Source organism: Homo sapiens, chromosome 6 (genome assembly GCF_000001405.40).
Source record: "Homo sapiens chromosome 6, GRCh38.p14 Primary Assembly".
NCBI classification, from domain to species: Eukaryota; Metazoa; Chordata; class Mammalia; order Primates; family Hominidae; genus Homo; species Homo sapiens.
In genome coordinates, this window is record NC_000006.12 from 71748128 (window position 1) to 71770775 (window position 22648).

A 22648-nucleotide genomic window follows, 5' to 3' on the forward strand; every position below is an offset into this window, starting at 1 on the left:
ATATAGATACAAATATATATAAAGTGTCTTGAACAAATCACATATTTTAAATTAACAACTTGTCTTTGATAAATTTATTCTAAGTAAACAGTACTCATGAAGATATATGTGCAAAGATGTTCACTGCAATGTTCCTTATAATGACACATTTGGAAGCAAGTTAATACAAATAATAAGATGAATAACAGTAATTTAATTTAGTGTATTGATATGGATTGTTTAGACCCATTCAAATTGTGTTTAGTAAATTTTATTTTATTTTTTTTGTGTGTGTGAGCAACAAGGCTGTTTATTTCACTTGGGTGCAAGTGGGCTGAGTCTGAGGAGAGAGTCAGCGAAGGGAGATGGGGGTGGGGCCGTTTTATAAGATTTGGGTAAGTAAAGGAAAAAGGGGGATTGTTGTCTGGCGGGCAGGAGTGGGGGGTCACAAGGTGCTCAGTGGGGGAGCTTTTTGAGCCAGGATGAGCCAGGAGAAGGAATTTCACAAGGTAATGTCATCAGTTAAGGCAAGGACCAGCCATTTTCACTTCTTTTGTGGTGGAATGTCATCAGTTAAGGCAGGAACAGGCCATTTAAATATCACTCTTTTGTGATTCTTCAGTTACTTCAGGCCATCTGGATGTATACGTGCAGGTCACAGGGGATATGATGGCTTAGCTTGAGCTCAGAGGCCTGACATTCCTGTCTTCTTACATTAATAAGAAAAATAAAACATAATAGTGTTGAAGTGTTGGGGCAGCGAAAATTTTTGGGGGTGGTATGGAGAGACAATGGGCGATGTTTCTCAGGGCTGCTTCCAGCGGGATTAGGGGCGGTGTGGGAACCTAGAGTGGGAGAGATTAAGCTGAAGGAAGATTTTGTGGTAAGGGGTGATATTGTGGGGTTATTAGAAGAAACATTTGCTGTATAGAATTATTGGTGATGGCCTGGATATGGTTTTGTATGAATTGAAAAAAGAACAGAATAAGACAAGGAGAAAAACAGGTATTAAAGGACTAAGAATTGGAAGGACCCAGGACATCTAACTAGAGAGTGCCTAAGGAGGTTCAGCATAGTCCTTCCAGCAAAGATTATTTATTTACTTTAAGAGGGAGTTAAGAGTGGCAGTTTGGGGATAGCACCAGGAGATATCAGCTGTGATGGCTTGGAGAAACAGTGTAAACCAGCAGTGTAAACAAGAGCATGGCATTTATGAGTAGTTGAGAACGGTGAATAGGAGTATGACAGACAGAAGATAGTAGGGATGACAAGTTTTGTTTTTTTGTTTTTTTGTTTTTTTTGGTGGGGGGGTGCAGTCCAAGTTGGTCTGGTGTCTGGAATGAGACTGGGGCCTAATAAAAAGGAGCGTCTATACAGGAGCTCAAATGGGCTGTACCCTGTAGCATTCCGAGGATAGGCCCGAATTCTGAGAAGGGCAAGTCGTAAAAGTATCGTCCAGTCCTTTTTAAGTTGGTGGCTGAGCTTGGTGTGGTGTGCTTTTAAAAGACCATTAGTTCACTGAATACTAAGAGCCTGAGAAACTGCTTGGGTGATTTGACTAATAAAGGCCAGTCTGTTATAGGACTGTATAGAGGTGGGAAGGCCAATCTTCTGACAGAAGGGAAGAAATGACCGTGGTGGCCTTCTTAGACCCTGTGGGAAAGGCCTCTACCTATCCAGTGAAAGTGTTTACCCAGACCAAGAGGTATTTTAGTTTCCTGACTTGAGGCATGTGAGTAAAGCCAATTTGCCAGTCCTGGGAGGGGGCAAATCCCCGAGCTTGATGTGTAGGGAAGGGAGGGGGCCTGAATAATCGCTGAGGAGTAGTAGAATAGCAGATGGAACACTGAGAAGTTATTTCCTTGAGGATAGATTTCCACAATGGAAAGGAAATGAGAGGTTCTAAGAGGCGGGCTAGTGGCTTGTATTGTAGCATAGCCTGCCTTTGCTGGTGTGTGGCGATTAGGCCTGGTGGAACTGCCATCAATAAACCAAGTGTGATCAGGGTGAGAAACAGGAAAGAAAGAAATATGGGGAAATGGGGTGAATGTCAGGTGGATCAGAGAGATACAGTCCATAGGGGTCAGGTGTGGCATCAGGAATAATGTGGGAGGCAGGATTGAAGTCCAGGCTAGGAACAATGGTAATTGTGGGAGACTCAACAAAGAGTGAGTACAGCTGAAGGAGCTGGGGAGCAGAAAGTGTATGTGTCAGGTGTGAGGAAGAAAATAGATTTTGGAAGTTATAAAACTGTAGACAGTGAGTTGAGCATAGTTTGTGATTTTAAGGGCCTCTGAAAGTATCAGGGTGGCAGCGGCTGCTGCACGCAGACTTCAGGGCTAGGCAAAACAGTAAGGTCAAGTTGTTTGGATAAAAAGGCTACAGGGCACGGTCCTGGTTCTTGTGTAAGAATTCTGACTGCACAGCCCTGCACTTCAGCTGTGGGTAATGAAAAGGGTTGGGATGAGTCAGGGAGAGCTAGGGTGTGGGCAGTCTCTAAAGCTGTCTTCAAGGAAAGGAAAGAGGAGTGGGGAAAGGATTTAGAATCTATGGGATCAGCTAGGTTTCCTTTTGTGGGTTTATATAATGGTTTTTTAGGATGGCAAAACCAGGTATCTAAAATCGAAAGTATCCAACCATGCCTAGGAAGGAAAGGAGTTGTTTTGTAGAAGGTGTTGGGGTTTGAGAGATCAGTCGGACACTATTTTGCAGGGAAAGCATGTGTGTTTTTATGACAATTATGCCAAGACAGGTAAAAGATGAGGAAGAAATTTGGGCTTAACTGAAGTAATGGGGGCCGTCTGTGAAGGCTTGCGGCAGTACAGCCCAGGTAATTTGCTGAGCCTGATGGGTGTCAGGGTCAGTCCAAGTGAAAGTGAAGAGAGGCTGGGATGAAGGGTGCAAAGGAATAGTAAAGAAAGCATGTTTGAAATCCAGAACAGAATATTGGGTTGTGGAGGGAGGTATTGAGGATAGGAGAGTATATGGGTTTGGCACCACACGGTAGATAGGCAAAACAATTTTGTTGATAAGGCACAGATCCTGAACTAACCTGTAAGCCTGGTCTGGTTTTAGGACAGGTAAAATGGGGGAATTGTAAGGAGAGTTTATAGGCTTTAAAAGGCCATGCTGTAACAGGTGAGTGATAACAGGCTTTAATCCTTTTAAAGCGTGCTGTGGGATGGGATATTGGCATTGAGTGGGGTAAGGATGATTAGGTTTTAATGGGATGGTAAGGAGTGCGTGATCAGTCACCAAGGAGGGAGTAGAGGTGTCCTATACTTGTGGGTTAAGGTGGGGGGATAGGAGAGGAGGATGCAAAAGAGGCTTTGAACTGGGGAAAGGGGTGGCAATGAGGTGTGGCTGTAGTCCAGGAACAGTCAGGGAAGCAGAAAATTTAGTTAAAATGTCTTGGCCTAATAAGGGAACTGGGCAGGTGGGGACAAATAAAAAAGAGTGCATAAAAGAATGTTGTCTAAGTTGGCACCAGAGTTGGGGAGTTTTAAGAGGTTTAGAAGCCTGGCCGTCAATAGCCACAACAGTTGTGGAGGCAAGGGAAACAGGCCCTTGAAAAGAAGGTAATGTGGAGTGGGTAGCCTCTGTATTGATTAAGAAGGGGATGGACTTACCTTCCACTGTGAGAGTTACCCAGAGCATCTATGATGGTCCTGTAGGCTTCCGAGGCAATCGGGCAGTGTCAGTCTTCAGCTGCTAAGCCGAGAAGATCTGGGAAGGAGTCAGTCAGAGAGCCTTGGGCCAGAGTTCCAGGGGCTCTGGAAGTGGCTGCCAGGTGAGTTGAACAGTCCGACTTCCAGTGGGGTCCCGCACAGATGGGACACGGCTTAGGAGGAATCCCGGTCTGTGGGCATTCCTTGGCCCAGTGGTCAGATTTCTGGCACTTGTAGCAAGTTCCTGGGGGAGGAGGTTCTGGAGGAACCCCTGGCAGCAGCGGTTCAGCTGTTTTGAAGTTGTTGTGTGCTAGAGATGTGGCTGGGGTTTCTCTCACAGTGGAGACAAGGAATTGCAACTCAGAAATACATTGCTAATTGGCTGCCTTTACTCTATTATTGTACACCTTGAAGGCGAGGTTAATTAAGTCCTGTTGTGGGGTTTGAGGGCTGGAATTTAATTTTTGGAGTTTTATTTAATGTCAGGAGCAGATTGGGTAATAAAATGTATATTGAGAATAAGACTGCCTTTTGACCTTTTAGGGTCTAGGACTGTCTCAGGGTTGCTGCCGAACGAGCCATGAACTGGGCTGGGTTTTTCATATTTGATGAAAAAGAGCCTAAATGCTAACTGATTTTGGGAGAGGTCAGATAAAGAAAAAGGAGTATTAACCTTGACTATGCCTTTAGCTCCAGCCATCTTTTTAAGAGGAAATTGCTGGGCAGGTGCGGGAGGGCTAGTCGCAGAACAAAACTGTAAGCCGGACAGGCTGTGAGGAGGGGAGGTAATAAAAGGATTATAGGGTGGGGGAGCAGAGGCTGAGGAAGAGTTGGGACCTGGCTCGGCCTGGCGAGGGGCAGCCTGGGGAGGAGGGGAGAAGTCAGATGGGTCTGTAGAAAAGGAAGATTAGAAAGACTCAGCGACGCTTGGGGTTGGGACTCAGAGGACAGGTGGGAGGGAAAGAAGGAGGATTTGGGATGAGTCACATTGGGAACAGAGACTAGGGAGGGAACAATGTGTAAAAGAATGCCTGGACATCAGGCACCTCAGACCGTTTGCCTATTTTACGATAAGAATTATCTAGATCTTGTAGGATGGAAAAATCAAAAGTGCTGTTTTCTGGCTATTTGGAACCACTGTTTTGTTTGTATTGGGGTCAAGCGGCATTGTAGAAGAAAATAAGGCATTTAGGTTTAGGTCAGGTGTGAGTTGAAGAGGTTTTAAGTTACTGAGAACACAGGCTAAGGGAGAAGAAGGAGGAATGGAGGGTGGAAGGCTGCCCATAGTGAAGGAGGCAAGCCCAGAGAAAAAAGAGAGTAGAGACATGGAGAGAAGGTGTGGGGAGTGCTTGCCCCCCCAGGAAAGTGGAGAAGGGATAGGGACACGGAGAGAAGGGGTCTGGGGGTTCTTGCCACCCAGAAAAGTGGTACTTGCCACTAAGGGTGAAGGACCAAGGCAGGCATCCCCGCATGGTCAGACATCTCTGAAATGTGGGTGAATAATCAGGCAGGTGTCCCCGTGTGATTAAACACCAAGGGAAGACTGTCTTCCCCAGTCTGTGACCCACGCTGGAGTTTTGGGTCCATGGATAAAATGCGTCTCCTATCTCTACAAGAAAAGGAAAGGAACTGAAATTAAGAGAAGGGAGAGATTGACGTGTGGTGCCAAGATTGAAAGGAGAAAGAAGTTGAGGGATAGTGACGGAGGTTGAAGAAGAGAGTAAAAAGAGGTCGCTTACCTGATTTAAAATTGGTGTGATGTTCCTTGGGCTGGTTGGTCTGAGAATCTGAGGTCATAGGTGGATCTTTCTCACGGAGCAAAGAGCAGGAGGACAGGGGATTGATCTCCCATGGGAGGCCCCCAATCCGAGTCACAGCACCAAAATTTCACTCGCGTCCTTGTGAAGAGACCACCAAACAGGCTTTGTGTGAGCAACAAGGCTGTTTATTTCACCTGGGTGCAGGCGGGCTGAGTCCGAAAAGAGAGTCAGTCAGGAAAATTTTTAAATTACATTTAAATACTCATATCGTAATGGTTAGTATAAAAAAGCAGCACATAAAATGAAATGTAGAATATATTACCTAATATATAGAGGGAACACCAGAACTGTATATATTTATAAATATAGACAATTTAATTACACACACTCATATATTTGACAGGATATATGACAAAATATTGTGTTTAAAACAAGTGATTTCTATAATCTTCCCTTTACCTTTCCATAATTCTTTGTTGAGTTCTCCACAATAAGTGTGTATTAGTTTATAGTTAGAAAAGAAGCAATTTTGAAAAGAGAAAATGGGCTGTCAATAAACTAAAGTAGATTTGTGAAATTGTATTTGTCAATATAGCAATCATTATAGCAATTGATTTAAAACTGCTGCTTTTTAGAGGACTATGTTAGCTTTATTTAGTTTTGTTCTCTGTTTATAAAACATTTTATAGTTTTAGAGTTTCCAAGATGTAGAATTTTCTACGGAGTAGTATGAAGCTGACACTTCAGATATCAAATACTTAAAAAAGCTTTTTATTAACATATACATACAGAAAAATGCACATATTTAAAATGTATAATTTTATGAGTTTTCACAACTGAGAGGACTCATGTAACCCATACCTAGAAACATCATCAGCACCCAGAATACTTAACGTTCCCTTCTAATCACTTACACCCAAGGTAACTGCCTAGACTAATTTTGTATATATTTTGAAGGGAATGAAATCACATAGTATGTTTTCTATTGTGTTTTGCTTCCATCACTCAACCTTACAGGTATGCAATTTATCCATTTTGTAGCATATATATATATTTTGTTTTGTTTTGTTTTTTGAGATGGAGTGTCTTTCTGTCGCCAGGCTGGAGTGCAGTGGTGCAATCTCAGGTCACTGCAACCTCTGCCTCCCTGGTTCAAGCGATCCTCCTGCCCAGCCTCCCGAGTAGGTGGGACTACAGGCATGTGCCACCCCGCCCAGCTAATTTTTTGTATTTTTAGTAGAGACAGGGTTTCACCATGTTGGCCAGGATGGTCTCCATCTCTTGACCTTGTGATCCGCCCACCTCAGCCTCCCAAAGTGCTGGGATTACAAGCGTGAGCCACTGCGCCTGGCTAACATATATTTTTAGATTATCCATTCTCGTTGCTGTGTGGGATTCCATTGTGGAAGTACATTCCAATTTATTTGTATATTCTACTCTTGATAGGCATGTGAATACTTCTGATTTTTAGCTGTTATGAATAGAGCCTATAACATTACTATACATGTCTCCTAGTGAACATATGTATGCAATTTAATTAAACATGTATCTAGATATTATTGCTAGATAATAGGGCATGTATATGATCAGCTTTAGTAGATATTGCCAAACATTTTTCCAAAGTCGTTTAATCGTTTATATTCTCATCAGCAGTGCATGAGTTTTAACTGCTCTACATGCTCACTAACACTTAGAAGTATCTTTTTTTTTTCTGTTTTTTAGTCCTTCTGGTAGTGGTGATTGACATCTTAACAATATTAAGTCTTCCATTCAATTAATATGGAATATTTCTCACTTTATTCATATCGTCTTTATTCTCAATAATACGGATTAGTTTAGAGTGAGTACATATTCGTTTACAGAAGTACACTAAATTTTTCTTTAGATGTATTCCTAATCATTTGATGTTATTTGACACCACTGTAGATGGCATGTATTATTTTCTCTTTTTAAAGTGCTCTGTGGTGCTCTATCCTAAGAATTCTAGCTGCCTTGCTATCCCCAGACTTTCATCTCTGTCTTCCCAACCCAGGGAGTTCTCCCTGCTTATCCTGCTTCTTCCTTCTTGGGTTATGGCCTAGACGCTCTCTCAAAAACTACGCTGGGACAAGTTTATGTCTTGTCTCATTCAATTCCTGTTCCTCACAGATCATAGCCCTTCATTTCCTGACATCCAGTTTCTTGAAAACCATTTTTTTTTCATATATTTTATCGTGTGTGTTGGGAGGGCAGAGTGTACAGATTGTTTCAGGCAGGAGTACAAATCTTGTTCTTTTTCCTCCATCCTGGCCAAAAAAACCGCAGAAGAAATAAAGTCCGTAAGCGTTTATTTTATTATCATTTTAAAACAATATGGATATATTTTAGTACTTTTTATATGCATGTCAAGTTTTACATACATACAATTTTTAATGAAATTCTTAGGAGCTATGGAGTCCCTATTTTGAAAAGTTAACACAGTTTGAAAATAGGTTAGCATATTATAAGATGTTTTTCAATGCTTTCTTTTGAAACATTAGCAGAGGAAGCAATAGGGGAGCCAAATAGAGACTGTGGAATAACAACTGGGGTTTCTGTCACTGGTAAATAGAGGTAGTAAATGGACAGCTATTTGTTGCTTCAATGATGATTAGGTTACACAGGAAGCCTGTAGAAGCAGAAAGGTGACAGAGTTGTAGAGTTAGAAATGTAAGGCCTAAAAGAGCCCTGGTCAATTTAAAAATATACAACAGAACAAGACCATTCTTTCCAAGTTTAAGGGAAAAAGCCTCACTAATTTAATGAAGCAAAACTTGATGACCGTTTGGACATTTCAATGGCACTAATTCCCACTTAGGTTTTTGTACTCTTTTAGGATCCTTCCCTAAATTATGTGTTTTTCAAAACACATCTACTTTGCTATCCTCTTGGGCTTACATCAGTCACAGAAGACTCCAGCTTCAATCTGTTCTGTAGGGAAGTTAATTTGGAAGCCACAATTATAAATTCTCCAGTCCACCCTATCCCCACCACTTACTGTTACTTGACATTGGGTCATTTTCATTCTCTTACTCAGTCTCTTGAAGCATCTGAATTTGTGGCTCCTCTTACTTGTACCCTGCTGTATGTAAAGTGCTTTCACATGTGATGTTTAAGACAACAATCCTAAAAGGCAGGAAACTGAAGTTTAAAATTATACATTATACAGTCAAATGAAGATTTGAACATCAATCTCTCCTTATTCTAGCATCTAATCCCTTTTCACACCATCATTTGATTCTCTCCTGTCCTGATGGTGATGGTGAGGACAGGACACAAAAGGAGAGTCAACCATCCGAACCCACCTATATGAGGTGACAACTGCCTTTCACCTGAAGTTGAACACCTGCAATCTGGAAGAGGAGAGAGGCAAAGCAATTCTAACTGGTCTTGCAGACTCAAACCTAAAAGTGAAAGCAAAGTCATTATAATAAATTTAGGTATCAACCCTAAGTCAAAACATTGAAGAAAGGAGTATGTGTTTTATTCAGGCAATCCTGAGTTCTAGTCAGTCATATCTCTTGCACTTACTAGTGGTTCAACCTTGGGCAGGTAAGTACACTTTCTGAGCCCCAGTCTCCTACTCTGTAAGATGCAGGTAATAATACTCATACCAGTGGTGTGCTGGTAAATAATTAACAATTGACTCTTTCTGGAAAGTGTTTCCATATTTATACCTATTTAACTTTATTATAAATTTTTGATATAGACAGTACAAATAATAAGATACGCAATATTATTTTTTGCAAAGTGCACCTAACCATAGTAATTTCCATGTGATTTGCCATTTCTTTATAAATCCACTATCATTTTTATAATCCAACAACAGCATCACAATATCAGACTATGAATAAATGCTTGATTACTATCCAATTCAGCAAAGAAACTCTTCATGTCATTGACAAGTGAATGTAGTTCTGATGTGAATATTGGTTGATAATTTTATTTATGTTAATGAGTAAGACAAAAATGAAACAGTGAAGACATGCTAGAATTTCACTCATTCATCAATGATGTGAATGAATTCTTTGTTGAATCTAATAATAGTTATCAAATACTGAAAGAATGTTTTCTAAATTTTTTGTCCTATTCATGGTGTAATAGCTACTGACACATAGAAGCAAGAAATGGTCAGCTGTTTCCTGTTTTAATGAAAAGTAGGCTAAGGTATATCAAGCTCTTTTTAGTGTGGTTGATTTCTATGATATAAAGACTCTTGCCATGGCCAATTTGAAGCTCCCTATGTGATGTCACTAAACATGGAGTTGGGAAGAGAAGTGCAGAAGCACACCATTGTATGTTTCCACTACATGTGTACAAAAAGTACAAGGAGACTCAGCATAATTTATATAAAATGTCCTAAAATAATTAGGAAGTATTTTTTAAAAATTTAATACCTGTGTTCTTAATGCAATTTATTTTTAATGTGAGTTTATATAATTTAATTTTTAATAAGGATAATGTTTACTAACTATCTCAAAAAGTTCTGAAAATATAACAATCAACTCTCACTAGCTGGTGTGAGCTGGCTCCATCACACTCTTTCTTCACTACAGGACAATTGAGATGCTCAGAAATTGCATAGCTAACGTTCCTGATATATAGAACCTGCTAAATATGTAGCTATAAGCTACACAATCCCCCCACCCCCTACTAAGGAAGATAGGCTCACTAGAAATATTTTTACTTTGTTGTTTTAAAAAAGGCATCATATTGTGGAAAGATCTCTAGGGTCAGGATTCAGTATTTACTATTACTAAGGTTTACTATTCTAAGCCTGCTTCTTCATCAGTAAGTACGGATAAGTATTATGTATGCATCATAAGGCTGTTGTACATATTAAATAAAATAATGTCACAAAGTCCCTATAACAGCACCTCCTAAGTATAAAGTGCTAAGTTAAAAAGTTATGGGGCAGCAAGTTTATATCTAATCTTGAAAGAGTTCGCATGATCTGACAAAGGTCTTATTGATCCTTTCTGGCTCTATCTGTACTCTGTTGTCACTCATCTTCACAGCACTAAAAACATCTTCCAGACCCCTTCCTGCAACATTTGAATGTGCTCATCACACATTGTGAGCTTTTTTGTTAAAGTGGAAGAAACAACAATATGAACAAGTCAGTATCCACCCTTGGGTCATTACGCCCCCCAAACTGTATGAATAGTGTATTACCCTCATTATAATGCTGTAAAGCATAGTTTTGTTATTTAAAGTGATTTAAAGTTTGATATGGCTTAGAGAATTTTTGAGAATTACATGATATTCCTTGAGATAATTGAAAATACTCCAGGTGTCACAAAATAGGAAAGGGAATTACTAACAGGAGCTTAGGCAAAGTGCTAATAAGCAGGGAAGAGAAAGTGGGCTGAGTGCTTAGCAGCAGCTGCCTGATGGAGTGAGCCTGGCAATGAACCTAAGCCCCTAAAGAAGTTTGTACTGAAGAAAACAGATCACAAAGGGAACCTGCAGTGACTCTCTTCCCTACATGGGGCTAAACGTGGGGTGGATTGGGAAAGGAGGACACTGCAGAAAGAGGAAGGGAAGAGAAAGGAATGCAGTGTTCTTTTCCCTCCCCAAAGGCCATTTTGCATGGGATCTGGAGCTTTCAGAATAATTAAGGAGATGAGAATAAAGCTAGAAGACTGTAGAGTTGTATATTTTCCAAATCTGATTGTAAGAGCTCTGTGAGTTCTTCATTCAAATAAAAAAAAAAAAAAGAGGTTTTGTTGGTGGAGCAGAGATCAAGAAACTTGAAGCAGGAGGATCTTGCATGTCTGCAAGCATTATGAATAAAGTCAAAGATGTATAATGGTCTTAAGGGATCAGACAAGGCTTATCAGTCTCCCACATCATTCTTTGATAGACTAGTTTAGTTTATGGATGGGATTATACTGTAACCAGTTTTGTTGATGGGCTGAGCTCAGCAGTGCACACTTTATTTTTCTCTTTCATTGCTTTGAAATAGGTTCCATAAGATCTGTCAGCACTTGGCTAATGTCATAATTTTAGATTACTTTTAGGTGTAAAAAACATATTCATTATCAGTAAAATCTTAGGCTACTTTAAATACATTCTATGATTATTCCCTTTTTAGAGCCCAGGTTTGATCCAGAGAATGGAGAACAGCAGAAAAAATATGGATGGGTTGTAATTTTGACTTTCATCTTTCTCTTCTTTCTCTCCCATGTACTATGCTATTCCTCTGGCTTCTCCAAGTTTGAGAGAGGAGAGGCAGAAAAGAAGAGAAAGAAGAAGGAAAAGAGTAATGTCTTTTTATTTAGCCAATGTGGCTTGTGATTCTTTCTTGGGGACTGGCATGTCATGGTAGGTACACAAATACCTGGTCTTCCATAGAGCATCTCTCTAGAGATCCCCTTCTGAGAACCTGCATACTGCACTCTTCCCCAATATGGTGTTATTCTCTCTGGCTGATTTCCTGATCTCTTGCTTCCTGTAACACATCTTTGCCTTTTCTCCTGGAGTCCCCTCTCCCCCACAAAATGCTTTCTAGGTGGAGTCATTCCAAATGACTTGAGTCAAGCTAAGTGCTGTGGCATCCACTTGACTCCCCAGGTGAAAAGCAGCTGAAAGTTTTGAAATGCACATGTAGTCTTAATATTCCTGGGTGCATATGTCAAGTTCTCTCAATATCCCTTGTGCTCTATTCTGAATAGTTGAGGAGAATATCAAAATTCCTACAGCTCAGTAGCCATTTAGCTAGGGCAGTGGCAATAGGGGATGTCTCCCTGGGTGCAGATCATAAGGAGAAGCATTTGGTGTAAAAATTTTAAAACAGTAATAAAACTCACCAAAAGTCAGTTTTTAAAATTATTACTAGGCACTTGACAACTCTAAACAGTATCAGTGATAACATATTCCTTGTGAAAAAATATTTTGTTAGTCTAAGTTCTTTTTGAGTATTAATAATACATAATAGGCTTCAAATTAGCATATTGTTATTACTTATCCTTCAGCAAAGGTCTCCATAAGGACATTAATTTGGAGAATCCTTACTTATACAGTTGCCCCCTGATAGACAAAGTCTTGGCTTCAGGGATTCATATTTGAGAGTAACTTCCTAATAGTATGTAATGGTTGACGCTCACTTCAAGTGTGGTTTGTGTCTCCACCCCCTGTGGTACTACATATTCCTGCATTTAAATGGTAGATTACAAATAAACAGTGACCGCACAGTGATCATAGCGGCAAAGGAACAGAACACAAGTTACTTCATTCCTGTCATTCATTGTGACCTCTTGGAGTTTGTATTTGTGTTTAAAATTTAAAACAGTGAAATAGGTGCAAACTGCAAGGGGCAATATTTTTGTTTGGTAAATATAAATATTGGTTTACTCATAAAACACTTTATTAACTTTAAGGCCGGACACAATGGCTCTCGCCTGTAATCCCAGCACTTTGGGAGGCCATGGTGGGCAGATCACTTGAGGTCAGGAGCTCGAGACCAACCTGGCCAACATGCTGAAACCCCATCTCTACTAAAAACACAAAAATTAGCCGGGTGTGGTGGCGCATGCCTGCAGTCCCAGCTACTCAGGAGGCTGAGGCACAAGAATCCTTTCAACCCAGGAGGCAGAGGTTGCAGTGAGTTGAGATCGCACCACTGCACTCCGGCCTGAGCAACAGAGAGTGACTCTGTCTCAAAAACAAAAGAAAACAAGACAAAAAACACTTTATTAACTTTGAATAATATTTTTAAACTGGAAACATTCCTTTAAAAAATGGCTTGTGCTCTTACTTTTTATTTAATTGTGCTAAATCGTAATGTTATTCATTACTGTGACAAATCAATATATAGATAGAATTTTACGATGTATATATTAATGTAATTAAAATGTTCATTTGTTGTATATTTCTTTTTTGTGCTATAATATTAATTTTGGCCGTGCGTGGTGGCTCATGCCTGTAATCCCAGCACTTTGGGAGGCCCAGGTGGGCAGATCACCTGAGGTCAGGAGTTTGAGACCAGCCTGGCCAACATGGGGAAACCCCGTCTCTACTCAAAATGCAAAAATTTAGCCAGGTGTAGTGGTGTGCACCTGTAGTCCCAGCTACTCAGGAGGCTGAGGTGGGATAATTGCTTGAACCTGGGAAGCAGAAGTTGCAGTGAGCTGAGATCGCGCCATTGCACTCTAGCCTGAACAACAGACCGAGACTCCATCTCAAAATGCAATAATAAAAAAAATTTTATCGTTACTTTACTTTTTACTGACATGTTTATGTTTATGAAGCTCAATGAAGATTTTTCACAGTCTGCATTTATTTTCTGGCTAATATTATTATTTCATTTTAGGGCTATTACTGATGAGATGTTTAAAAACTACCCATAATCAACTCTAGAGGTTACCATTGAACTGGGGCTAAGATACCAATCTCCCCACTTAGTAAACAACTTTCCCGGTCTCTCTAAAAAGTTCTCTTCAGGCTTTTCCCTTGGCTCACCATTATTCCAAATTGTTTAGAATTTGAGATTTAAGAGAAAGTTCACAGTAACTAGAACTTTTACATCATATTTATTTGTATTAAATTCCTTTCTAAAATTCCTCTACTCCTTCAGTAATATATTTGTATGTGCTTCTGCAGGCTGGAGTATTAATCTAATGGAGATCAAAGGAATATGGTGGCAAGAAGGGGGTTCTTTCTGACCCTTTCCTTTCTGAGCTTGTGTTCATAGAGGGGAAGTTGGGGTAGTGGATTAGCAAGGGCACTATGGCTTTACATAAGGGTTCATAGGTCATGCTAGAGAGCACCTGCAGAGGAGTCAGCACAGCCGGAAGACCTACCTGGTACAAAGATGTACCAGAAAGTTTCTAGGCTGAAGACTGAGACCAAACTCTGATTTCCTTGTCAGTTAGGAAAGCCTGCACATTTGAAAAGGGAGCAAGCAATCCCAAGGGAGCTCCTGGGTTACAATTCTATTCTATAAGTGTTTGCAATTTATGGTGTGCCAGAAAAGAACAGGACTGGGTTCAATGTAATAGATACTCCCTGGTGTACTATATACCCCACAAAGCAGGCCATTAATTCTCATTGATTTGTGTCCGCAAGAGTCAGCACAGAGGTGACATTCAATTCTGACACATTTCTTACTACAGCCCCCAAAGCCCTCTGCCCATTTCCAATTAGCCCCTCACTGAATGCATGATGCATGATGTATTTCAACATCTTCACATTTTGTTGTTAAATTATTTTCATTCTCTAAGTCTGAACTCGAATGCCACTTCCTTGCTTAAATACACCATAAAACCCTAAATTAACTATGTTTTCATCTGTGTACTCATGATATTCTGATTTCACTTCTTTTATCATTTTTTATTTAATTTTCAATTGTACTTGATTTGTTTTCACAGCTGTTACCCTTGACAGAATTTAAATGCTTTGAAGTTAGAGTTCATATTCTGTGTACTTTCAAACCTGTATCTACCTTTCTCTTCAGGGTTTAATGAAACACATGAAACTAACACATTTAGTTAAATGCTAAAATAATGACCATGTTGATCAGAGTGGTTGCTGCGTAGTAATCAAAAACCAGTTTCTAAAAAATCTAACCAGTTTCCAGTTTTTATTGAATACCTGTTATACTCTATATCATATTAGTAACACAGTAAATATTTCAACTAATGAAGAAAATGTGAAAAGGTTTGCCCAAATACTTTGAGGATTCAAAATATAATTGTCAGATGAATTGGAACAATTAGGGAAAGAGAGTGTCTTAGTTCATTTTGGGCTGCTGTAACAGGATACCTGAGACTAGGTAACTTACAAAGAACAGAAATTATTTTTCTCATAGTTCTAGAGGCTCAGTAGTCCAAAATCAAGGTGCAGGCATCTGGTGAGGACCTTCTTGTTGTATTATATCATGGCAAATGTATCACATGGGAGAAAGGGAACACCTACTTCCAAGAATATGAACCCACGGCAGCAGTATTGGCATGAATCCATTCAGGCGTATGGTCCCCCCTTGACTCAAGCACATTCCACTTGACCCCACCTCCCAACAACATTGCATTGGGGATCAAGTTTCCAACAAATACATTGTTGGGGACACACATCATAGCAGAGAGGTACCTTTCTTTGCTATAAGATTTCTGTTATCAGTCTCACTGGGATTGATTTAATGAGTCTAGGCACAAGCCAAGGTCAAGACTCCTGAAATCAGATTGTCATACAAAGGATGCAACTAGGAGTTAGAATAAAGTTACCTGCCCAAGTTTAGAGACATCAAGAGAGGGAGACCTGAGAGTGAAGAAACAAACAAAAACCATAAACTAGCATAAGCCTGACATCAGAGTGAGGTGGTAGGTGGAGGTAATTTGGTTCAGCCCTTACTGAAACGAAATGGGCCAGAGAGTCAGATCATCATCAGGAAAGAAACTTTTAGGGGCTTTAAAGTTAGTAGAATCTATAAATGTCTTTTTTTTTACTTTTTGCTCCCTTTTATTTCTCTTTTGCAGGCTGTATTCCATGTGCCTGGACTAGCTTCCATTAAGGATCCTGATTAATTTATGATTTTAATACAAAATAAGCATGTAAATAGATAAATAAATCCTCAACTAATTACATGGAAGCCACTTACAAGTTGGTGTATAGTTTTGACACAGAAAAAAAATCTGCTTCAGTGTCTTATTCCTCATCTAAATGTTCTCCTTATATTCAAAGTCTCAAATAATACAGATGTGACCCCACTTTCTTAAGAGGAATCAGCATGCAAGGATTCATATTGTTATGATAGAATACCCTTATTTCATTTATCAAAGATGTGTTTAAAATATTGATATTGCAAATAACATATTTTTTGATTCCACTAAAGGTAGGTTTTTGTCCAGTTTTTTTGTTTGTTTGTTTTTATACAATTGTGGTTTACAGAGCTTGACCTGGGGAAAGGGACAAAAAATTTAACCTAACAGGTCGGAAATACAAGCAATTAAACATTCTTCAAATGCCAACTGAAATTTTACTTCCTGAGTGAAGCCTTCCCAAGTTTCCTAGTCAGAATCCCTCGTGAAAAATCAGGAAGGAAACTGAATCACTAAAATCATTTTAGAAGAATATTCCCTAATATAACAGAAAATCAATTATATAGAACTTCAGAAACTAAAATGTTGCATAAAATTGTACGTATGACATAGAAAACCTACAAATGCCGGTACTTTTGATCCCCCAATTTAAGTCTTACGTTTATATCCACCATTGCAGAAACAAGCAAGACTAAAGAATGCTCTTCATTGTATTAGATAGTTTTCTATAGGTGTGCTATTCACCTCTTATTAGAAAAAACAATTAATTATGGTTTAGTGAGAAAGCATTGGCTTGAAAAAAGATCTGGTTTTGAAAATGGACTTCTCCATTTTTGGGGTGGGCGCATTTGAGGAAGTCTCTCTACCATTCTGAGATTTAGTTTACTTGTCTATAAAAAAACATAATGAACCTACTTCACACAACTGTTGTGCAAATTTATTGTGATCATGTCTGCAAATCATATTTTATACAATAGATAATCATATTTGTAATTTATGATTTCAATAAGTTGCATATGTCATTACCACTATGTAGAAGGTCAGTACACCTTGCTTATTTGGTTTTCACTTTTAACAACATACTGACACATTGTCTGCTCTTTTGTTTATCTGTTACTTTCAAAAGAAAAAGATGGGAGACACTAAAGGATGATATGGGATAATGTAAACTGGAGAGAGGTGTGTGTTGTAGTATAGCTTCGTGGAATTTTTCATAACTGGAAAGAGCCATACGTGTAGATACTGAAGGCACCTTGGAAAATCAAGGGGAGGTTCCACAGCTCCAGGAATAAGTATGGCCAGTGGATATATTATTTGTTCACTGGGTGGTGGGGACTGGTTGAAGAGCAGCCAGCACATAGGTATATTGTTGATATTGGTGTTGCTTTAATTTGAATTAAGTTTCCTAGATTGAGCACTTCTCCTAATTTTCATATATGCCCCTTATAGTACATACACAATGTAGAAGTTGCTGTACCTTAACCCTTACAGCACGTGAATTTAGTCTCCTCCATCCCTTGGTTTACAGCTAGGTATCTAAGAAAGGTAACTGACTGATCCAGGGCAACAGAGTTCTTCATGGACAGAACCACCCAATTGAGTGGGAGGGTGCTAGCTCCATCTTCCTCACTTCAATCTCTCAGAATTTTGTTTCCTTTTTTGTAAAATGTGGGATTTGGCTAGCACCAGATGGTCTCTGAGATCTTCCCTAATTCTAAGCCTCTGAATTCAAGTCTTAGGAAGCTGAATCAAATGTTTTTTTCTCTACAATAACAATTTCTCCATTCTCTCCTTTGAGGGAATAGGACTTATATACTTAGGAGCCAATATAATTCTGACTCCAAAAAAGTTCCTATGTATGTATTTCATAGATTCAATTTTGCATATCAGAAATAATATACTGCCAACCTATGAACTGCTAAAATTGTTGATATGTAAAAGGAGAGGAAAAGGCCAAATAATTTGATTTTTTTCTGATGCAACAAAGAATAAAAGTAATTTTGCCTTTACTATTATGGTTATTGCTGACAATTTGTTATATCAGAAAAAAAATGGGTCAGGTTTAAATACTCTGCTGCTTATAAAAATATCCAAAACTATAAAACAGTCTTTGTATGTCTTTTCTTTGAAAGGGTGGATATTTTAAATGACCTGGCTGGCTTTGTGGATCAAGTCTTTGTTTCCATGACACTGCAACTAGCAGAGGGCAAAAAGCTGGTTGATTCACTGGCTTTTTCTAAGAGGCAGAGCTGACTGCAGCAAGTTTCCTAATACCTACAGGTACTAAGAGCTTGTTGTATTAACTTGAGAAAGGATAATAGGAATTATAGTTTCTTTTAGTTAATTTTTACCCAATTCTTAACTTCAGTTCAAGAGACGATTAGAGAAATTCCCCGAGACAAGGTTATACATTACACATTACACTCTATACTGATTTCTGGTCTTCATTTTATGACTCTTGTCATCAAATCCCATATCACACATAATAAAGATTTTGTCTCAGTGCCACTCAGTAGGATGATCAAATCACTTATTTTTATTGCATTTTCATCCATGTACAATGACAAGATCTATTTTGTTTTTATCTCATGCTGAAAAATAGAATTTCTGGAGTCTGTCATGTGTTCTTTTGTTTTGGGGCAATTGCCATAATCTATTTGCAAGATTATAAATCTATTTAAATAGCATAAAGCTATCAACCTGACACTTAACTAAAAATGTACTTAATTTTGTTGTTTTTTAAATTCATCTCTCTCATTTTGATTTCCACCCCTAAGAAGGTCATAGGGCCACTTAGTTAAGGGGTGGAAGGGGATGAGGAATGACTTATTGCTGCCTATAAATTGAATGAGTGCGGCAGAGAGTGACGAGAGAAGATCTGAAGTTACATAGACCTTGAAGAGGCCACTTGGGGCTGCTTTTGCTGCCAAACCATCAGTATTTATGACATCTTCTTTCAGGTTGTAAAACGCTGGCCCTGGGTATTATATGGCAGTTATATTACAAGGGTCACCTATCCTGCTTCTGAATTTTTGCTCAAAATATTCCCTATGTCTAGACTTGTCCCTCCCTGCTCCCTATTAAGTGTGACTCTTGTACCTAAATTTAAATCTAAACTCTAAACTTGATTCTTCAACAAATCTTGTCTGAGTTGATACAAAAAGGCATACCATCCTACCCCTCTAAGCATTCTTTTTAACTTTCTAAGATAATTATTTCTATGAAGTGTAAATTTTAAAAGTATTCTAAATACCTACTATAAGACAAGCACCATAATAGTTAATTTTGTACACCTTTGTGTGCATTGTCAGAATTTGCAAATATAAAATCTCAGATGTGATGAGAACTGGGTAGGACCTTCTGACCCAAGACAACCTCCCTCCCGTAAATCAGGGCAGGAAATCCAATATGCCTTGGCCTTCTCTCTGGTTCTAAATTAAACAGTCAAGCCATGAGTGAAGTGACAACAAAATTTGTCATTAACACTTAGATGTGATAGGTTTACCCCTCAATATTAAGGGTCTAGAGAACTCTTATAAGGAAGAGAATGTGCTATAACTGTAGGGCAGTGGTGACCATCTGAATCAAGCCCACAGCTTCCACATGCATCTTGAGCCATGCAAATCAGCTTTCCAGTGACCTTCTAGGAATTACTAGGAGCTGTCTCTGTTAGTCTTCTCTCTAAGGCCTTCTCTTCAGACAGCCAACTTTAAAAAAGAGAGACGTATATTGCACGTTCAAAAGTATTCTTTTTCATAGAAAATCAAAGAGCTCAAAATAGTTCATTCCCATCTCTAAAGGAATACTGTTACAACATGAGTTTTCCTGAAGCAGAAGCTCCTGACTGTGCCCTTGCTCTCATGACCTGTTTTGCTGTTACTTCTTGTAATGATAAAAAGGTCTTTCTGGTATTCCTCTATCTCCATTAAAGTTGCTTATAAAGCAAAATCGTTTGTAGCAAACCCAATCTCTCCATTTACACACATTTAGAAGTAGGACATGGGTTTCAGTGAGGTGCCAATGAATCCCAGTCTCTGGAAGCCCTTGCCCCGACCTTATTGCTCAGGTTGCTTGTAAGATTCCATTATGTGCAGCAGAAAAACACTATGCACAGCTCTGTTCTTATTTACTTAGGCAAAAATCTCCAGAACTTGTTTGGAACGTCTTTGTGGAGGGTATAACTTAGTGGGCTCTTTGCCTTATCAATTGTAATACATTAAAAATCTGTATCAAATATCACTGCATACCTATGAAGGAAACTCTCAGTATCCCTGAAGGCCCTGTAGTAAATGTTTGAAATGAAAAAAGAAGTAATTAAGTACAGTTAAAAGAGGTGGCTTATCTGAGAATAGAAATCTGACCTAGATAAATTGGCTCTTTCTTCCTTTCCTTTCTTTCCCCTTCCTCTCTCATACACACGACTCTCACTCAAAGGGCTGATCTCACCTAGTGTGATCTTTTTCCAGCAGGTGACAATGAAGTGTGATGGCTGGGAGGTCTAACCTATTCAATGAAAACTTTTTAATTCAATTTCTCATTTCTTTGAGCTACCAGCCTTCCTGTGTCCCTGATTTGTTCTCAGAGGTCCCTAATTCCCTTTTTCCTTTTAGAATCTGGACTGCCCTTGCCACATGTGCCTCTGAACTTGGTGAGGTGTTCAACATGTCACAGAGCTCAGCAACGACTCCATTCAAAACAAAACATTAAGATCGTCAAAGCAAATAAAAAATCCCAGCAGAAATTCCCCCTTACAAAGGGTTTGAGTAATTCAGTTGTGGATGTAAGTGCTGCTGTAACAAAGAATTCATTATTATTTCTACTGTTACTTCTGAGTACCACATTTCCCCCTTTATTTTTTCAAAATAACTTCCAAAATATTTTTAAATGATTCAAAAGTTGTTTGCCAAGCTAATACTTGCACACAGCTTAAAAAGTCAGTGTGTTCTAAATGGCAGGCTTTTACTGTGTCCTTGCCCTATTCCCTAGTTTTGATCCTTATAAACAATCACATTTAACTCTTTTACCTGTTTCTCTGGCATCCGCTTTCATATTTGTAGCTAGTATTCTTATTCTGCTTTTATTTATTAGTGAGGTTTGGCCATTACCTTTTTATTTGAAGACAGACAATTTAACTTGAAATCCAGTCTCTTCCTTGCACTGCTTCTTTCCCATAAAGGGTAAATCAAATATTCTATGTTTAAATTACTATGATTATGTGAATGTTGTTCTTACTCTGCCAAATACTGCACAATAATTTCTTTTCTTGTACAAATTTTTGATAATCCTGAAGTTAATAATTAGCTTGTTTTGTCATTTGATGAGTTTTATTTGTAAAGATTACTAATTCTTTCCACAACTTTCTTACAACTTCTTAGTGCAATTTGCCATATAGTCTTATGTTTCATTTTTAAATTTTTTCTAGAGACTTTCCTCCCAGAGCTCTGATTCCTCCAGTTCAGTCCAGATTGGCGGCTCTCAAGGCCTGCTTGCAGACGCCATCTTGGAACTTCCCTGCACCAGCATCCAGAGACTTCCTTTTGCCTCTTTTCTGTGTGGAGTCTCCTGATAGCAGGACCCCCATGCCTTCCCCTTTCTTGGTTAACTTCTTGGTGTTGTAGCTCATACCCTTGTTTTACTTTCTAAGAAAGGATGCCTAGGAGGTAAAATTTTGAGATCTTTTAAATCTGCATATTTTTAATTCTACTTCCTCATTATTTAACCAACAGTCTAAAAATCTAGTGTAAAAATTATTTCACTCAGAATTTTGCAATTTTGCTTCTCAAAGTGATGTTGAAAAACTGATATCATTCTAATTTGTATTCCATTTTTATGTAATCTGTGTTGTTCCACTCTGGAAAATTTTAAAGATTGTCTCTTTATTCTAGGTATTGTGAAATTCATAATGCTGTGTCTTAGTGTGTCTTTTTCTTTTTTCATGTATTCTGCTTAACTTCAGTAGACCATTTTAATTAATTGATGTATGGCTTTTGGTTTTAGTAAATGTTTTGTATTATTGCTATTATTTTTAAACATATCTGTTTCTGTTACTTGGGTGTTTTAGTTGGACACTGAAACCTTTAGAATTATCCTGATATTTTCTTATATTTTCTCTTCTACTCTTCATCCCTTTGCCCTTTTGTTCTACTTTCTGGGAGTTGTCTCAATTAGATATCTTGGGTAGATATTACTGGTGCTCATCAACATATATGGCTCTCCTCTCTTTCCTGAACATGTGAAATGATTACAATTCCTTGTGTCCTTATACTTCAAAGAAGCTATGTGACTTGGTTTAGTGAATGAAATACAGGGACTTAGGGTAAAACCATTTAAGAGCTGCTATGTGATTGTCCATGTTCTCTTTCCCTTCCATGGTGAACCCAGAAGTATCATATTTAAATAGAAACTTCACAAGTTTGGAGCAGCCTAGTGGAGAAGCTAAGACTCCATAGAGAGAATAACGATGTTGGAGAACCACCCAGGTTAACAACAGATGGTACAAACAAGAAATAAATTTTCATTGTGTTAAATTCTTGAGTTTTTTTGTTGTTACCACAGCAAAATTTTGTAGATCCTAAATGATTACATTTCCAAGATACTTTCTTGTGATTTTATTCGTCTTTTTTTGTGGCAACTCTTACTTGATTCATGGATGTAATAGTGTTTCATAACCTAAAAGTGATAAGAA

General features: G+C 38.7%; 1 annotated feature.

The window, feature by feature from the left end:
- Positions 20875–22074: an enhancer, noted in NCBI's record as "BRD4-independent group 4 enhancer chr6:72478705-72479904 (GRCh37/hg19 assembly coordinates)". NCBI's record gives its function as "activates an origin of replication core promoter dependent on BRD2, P300/CBP, MED14 and CDK7 cofactors, and independent of BRD4, by STARR-seq in HCT116 cells {active_cell/tissue: HCT116}" and the evidence as "EXISTENCE:reporter gene assay evidence [ECO:0000049][PMID:35650434]".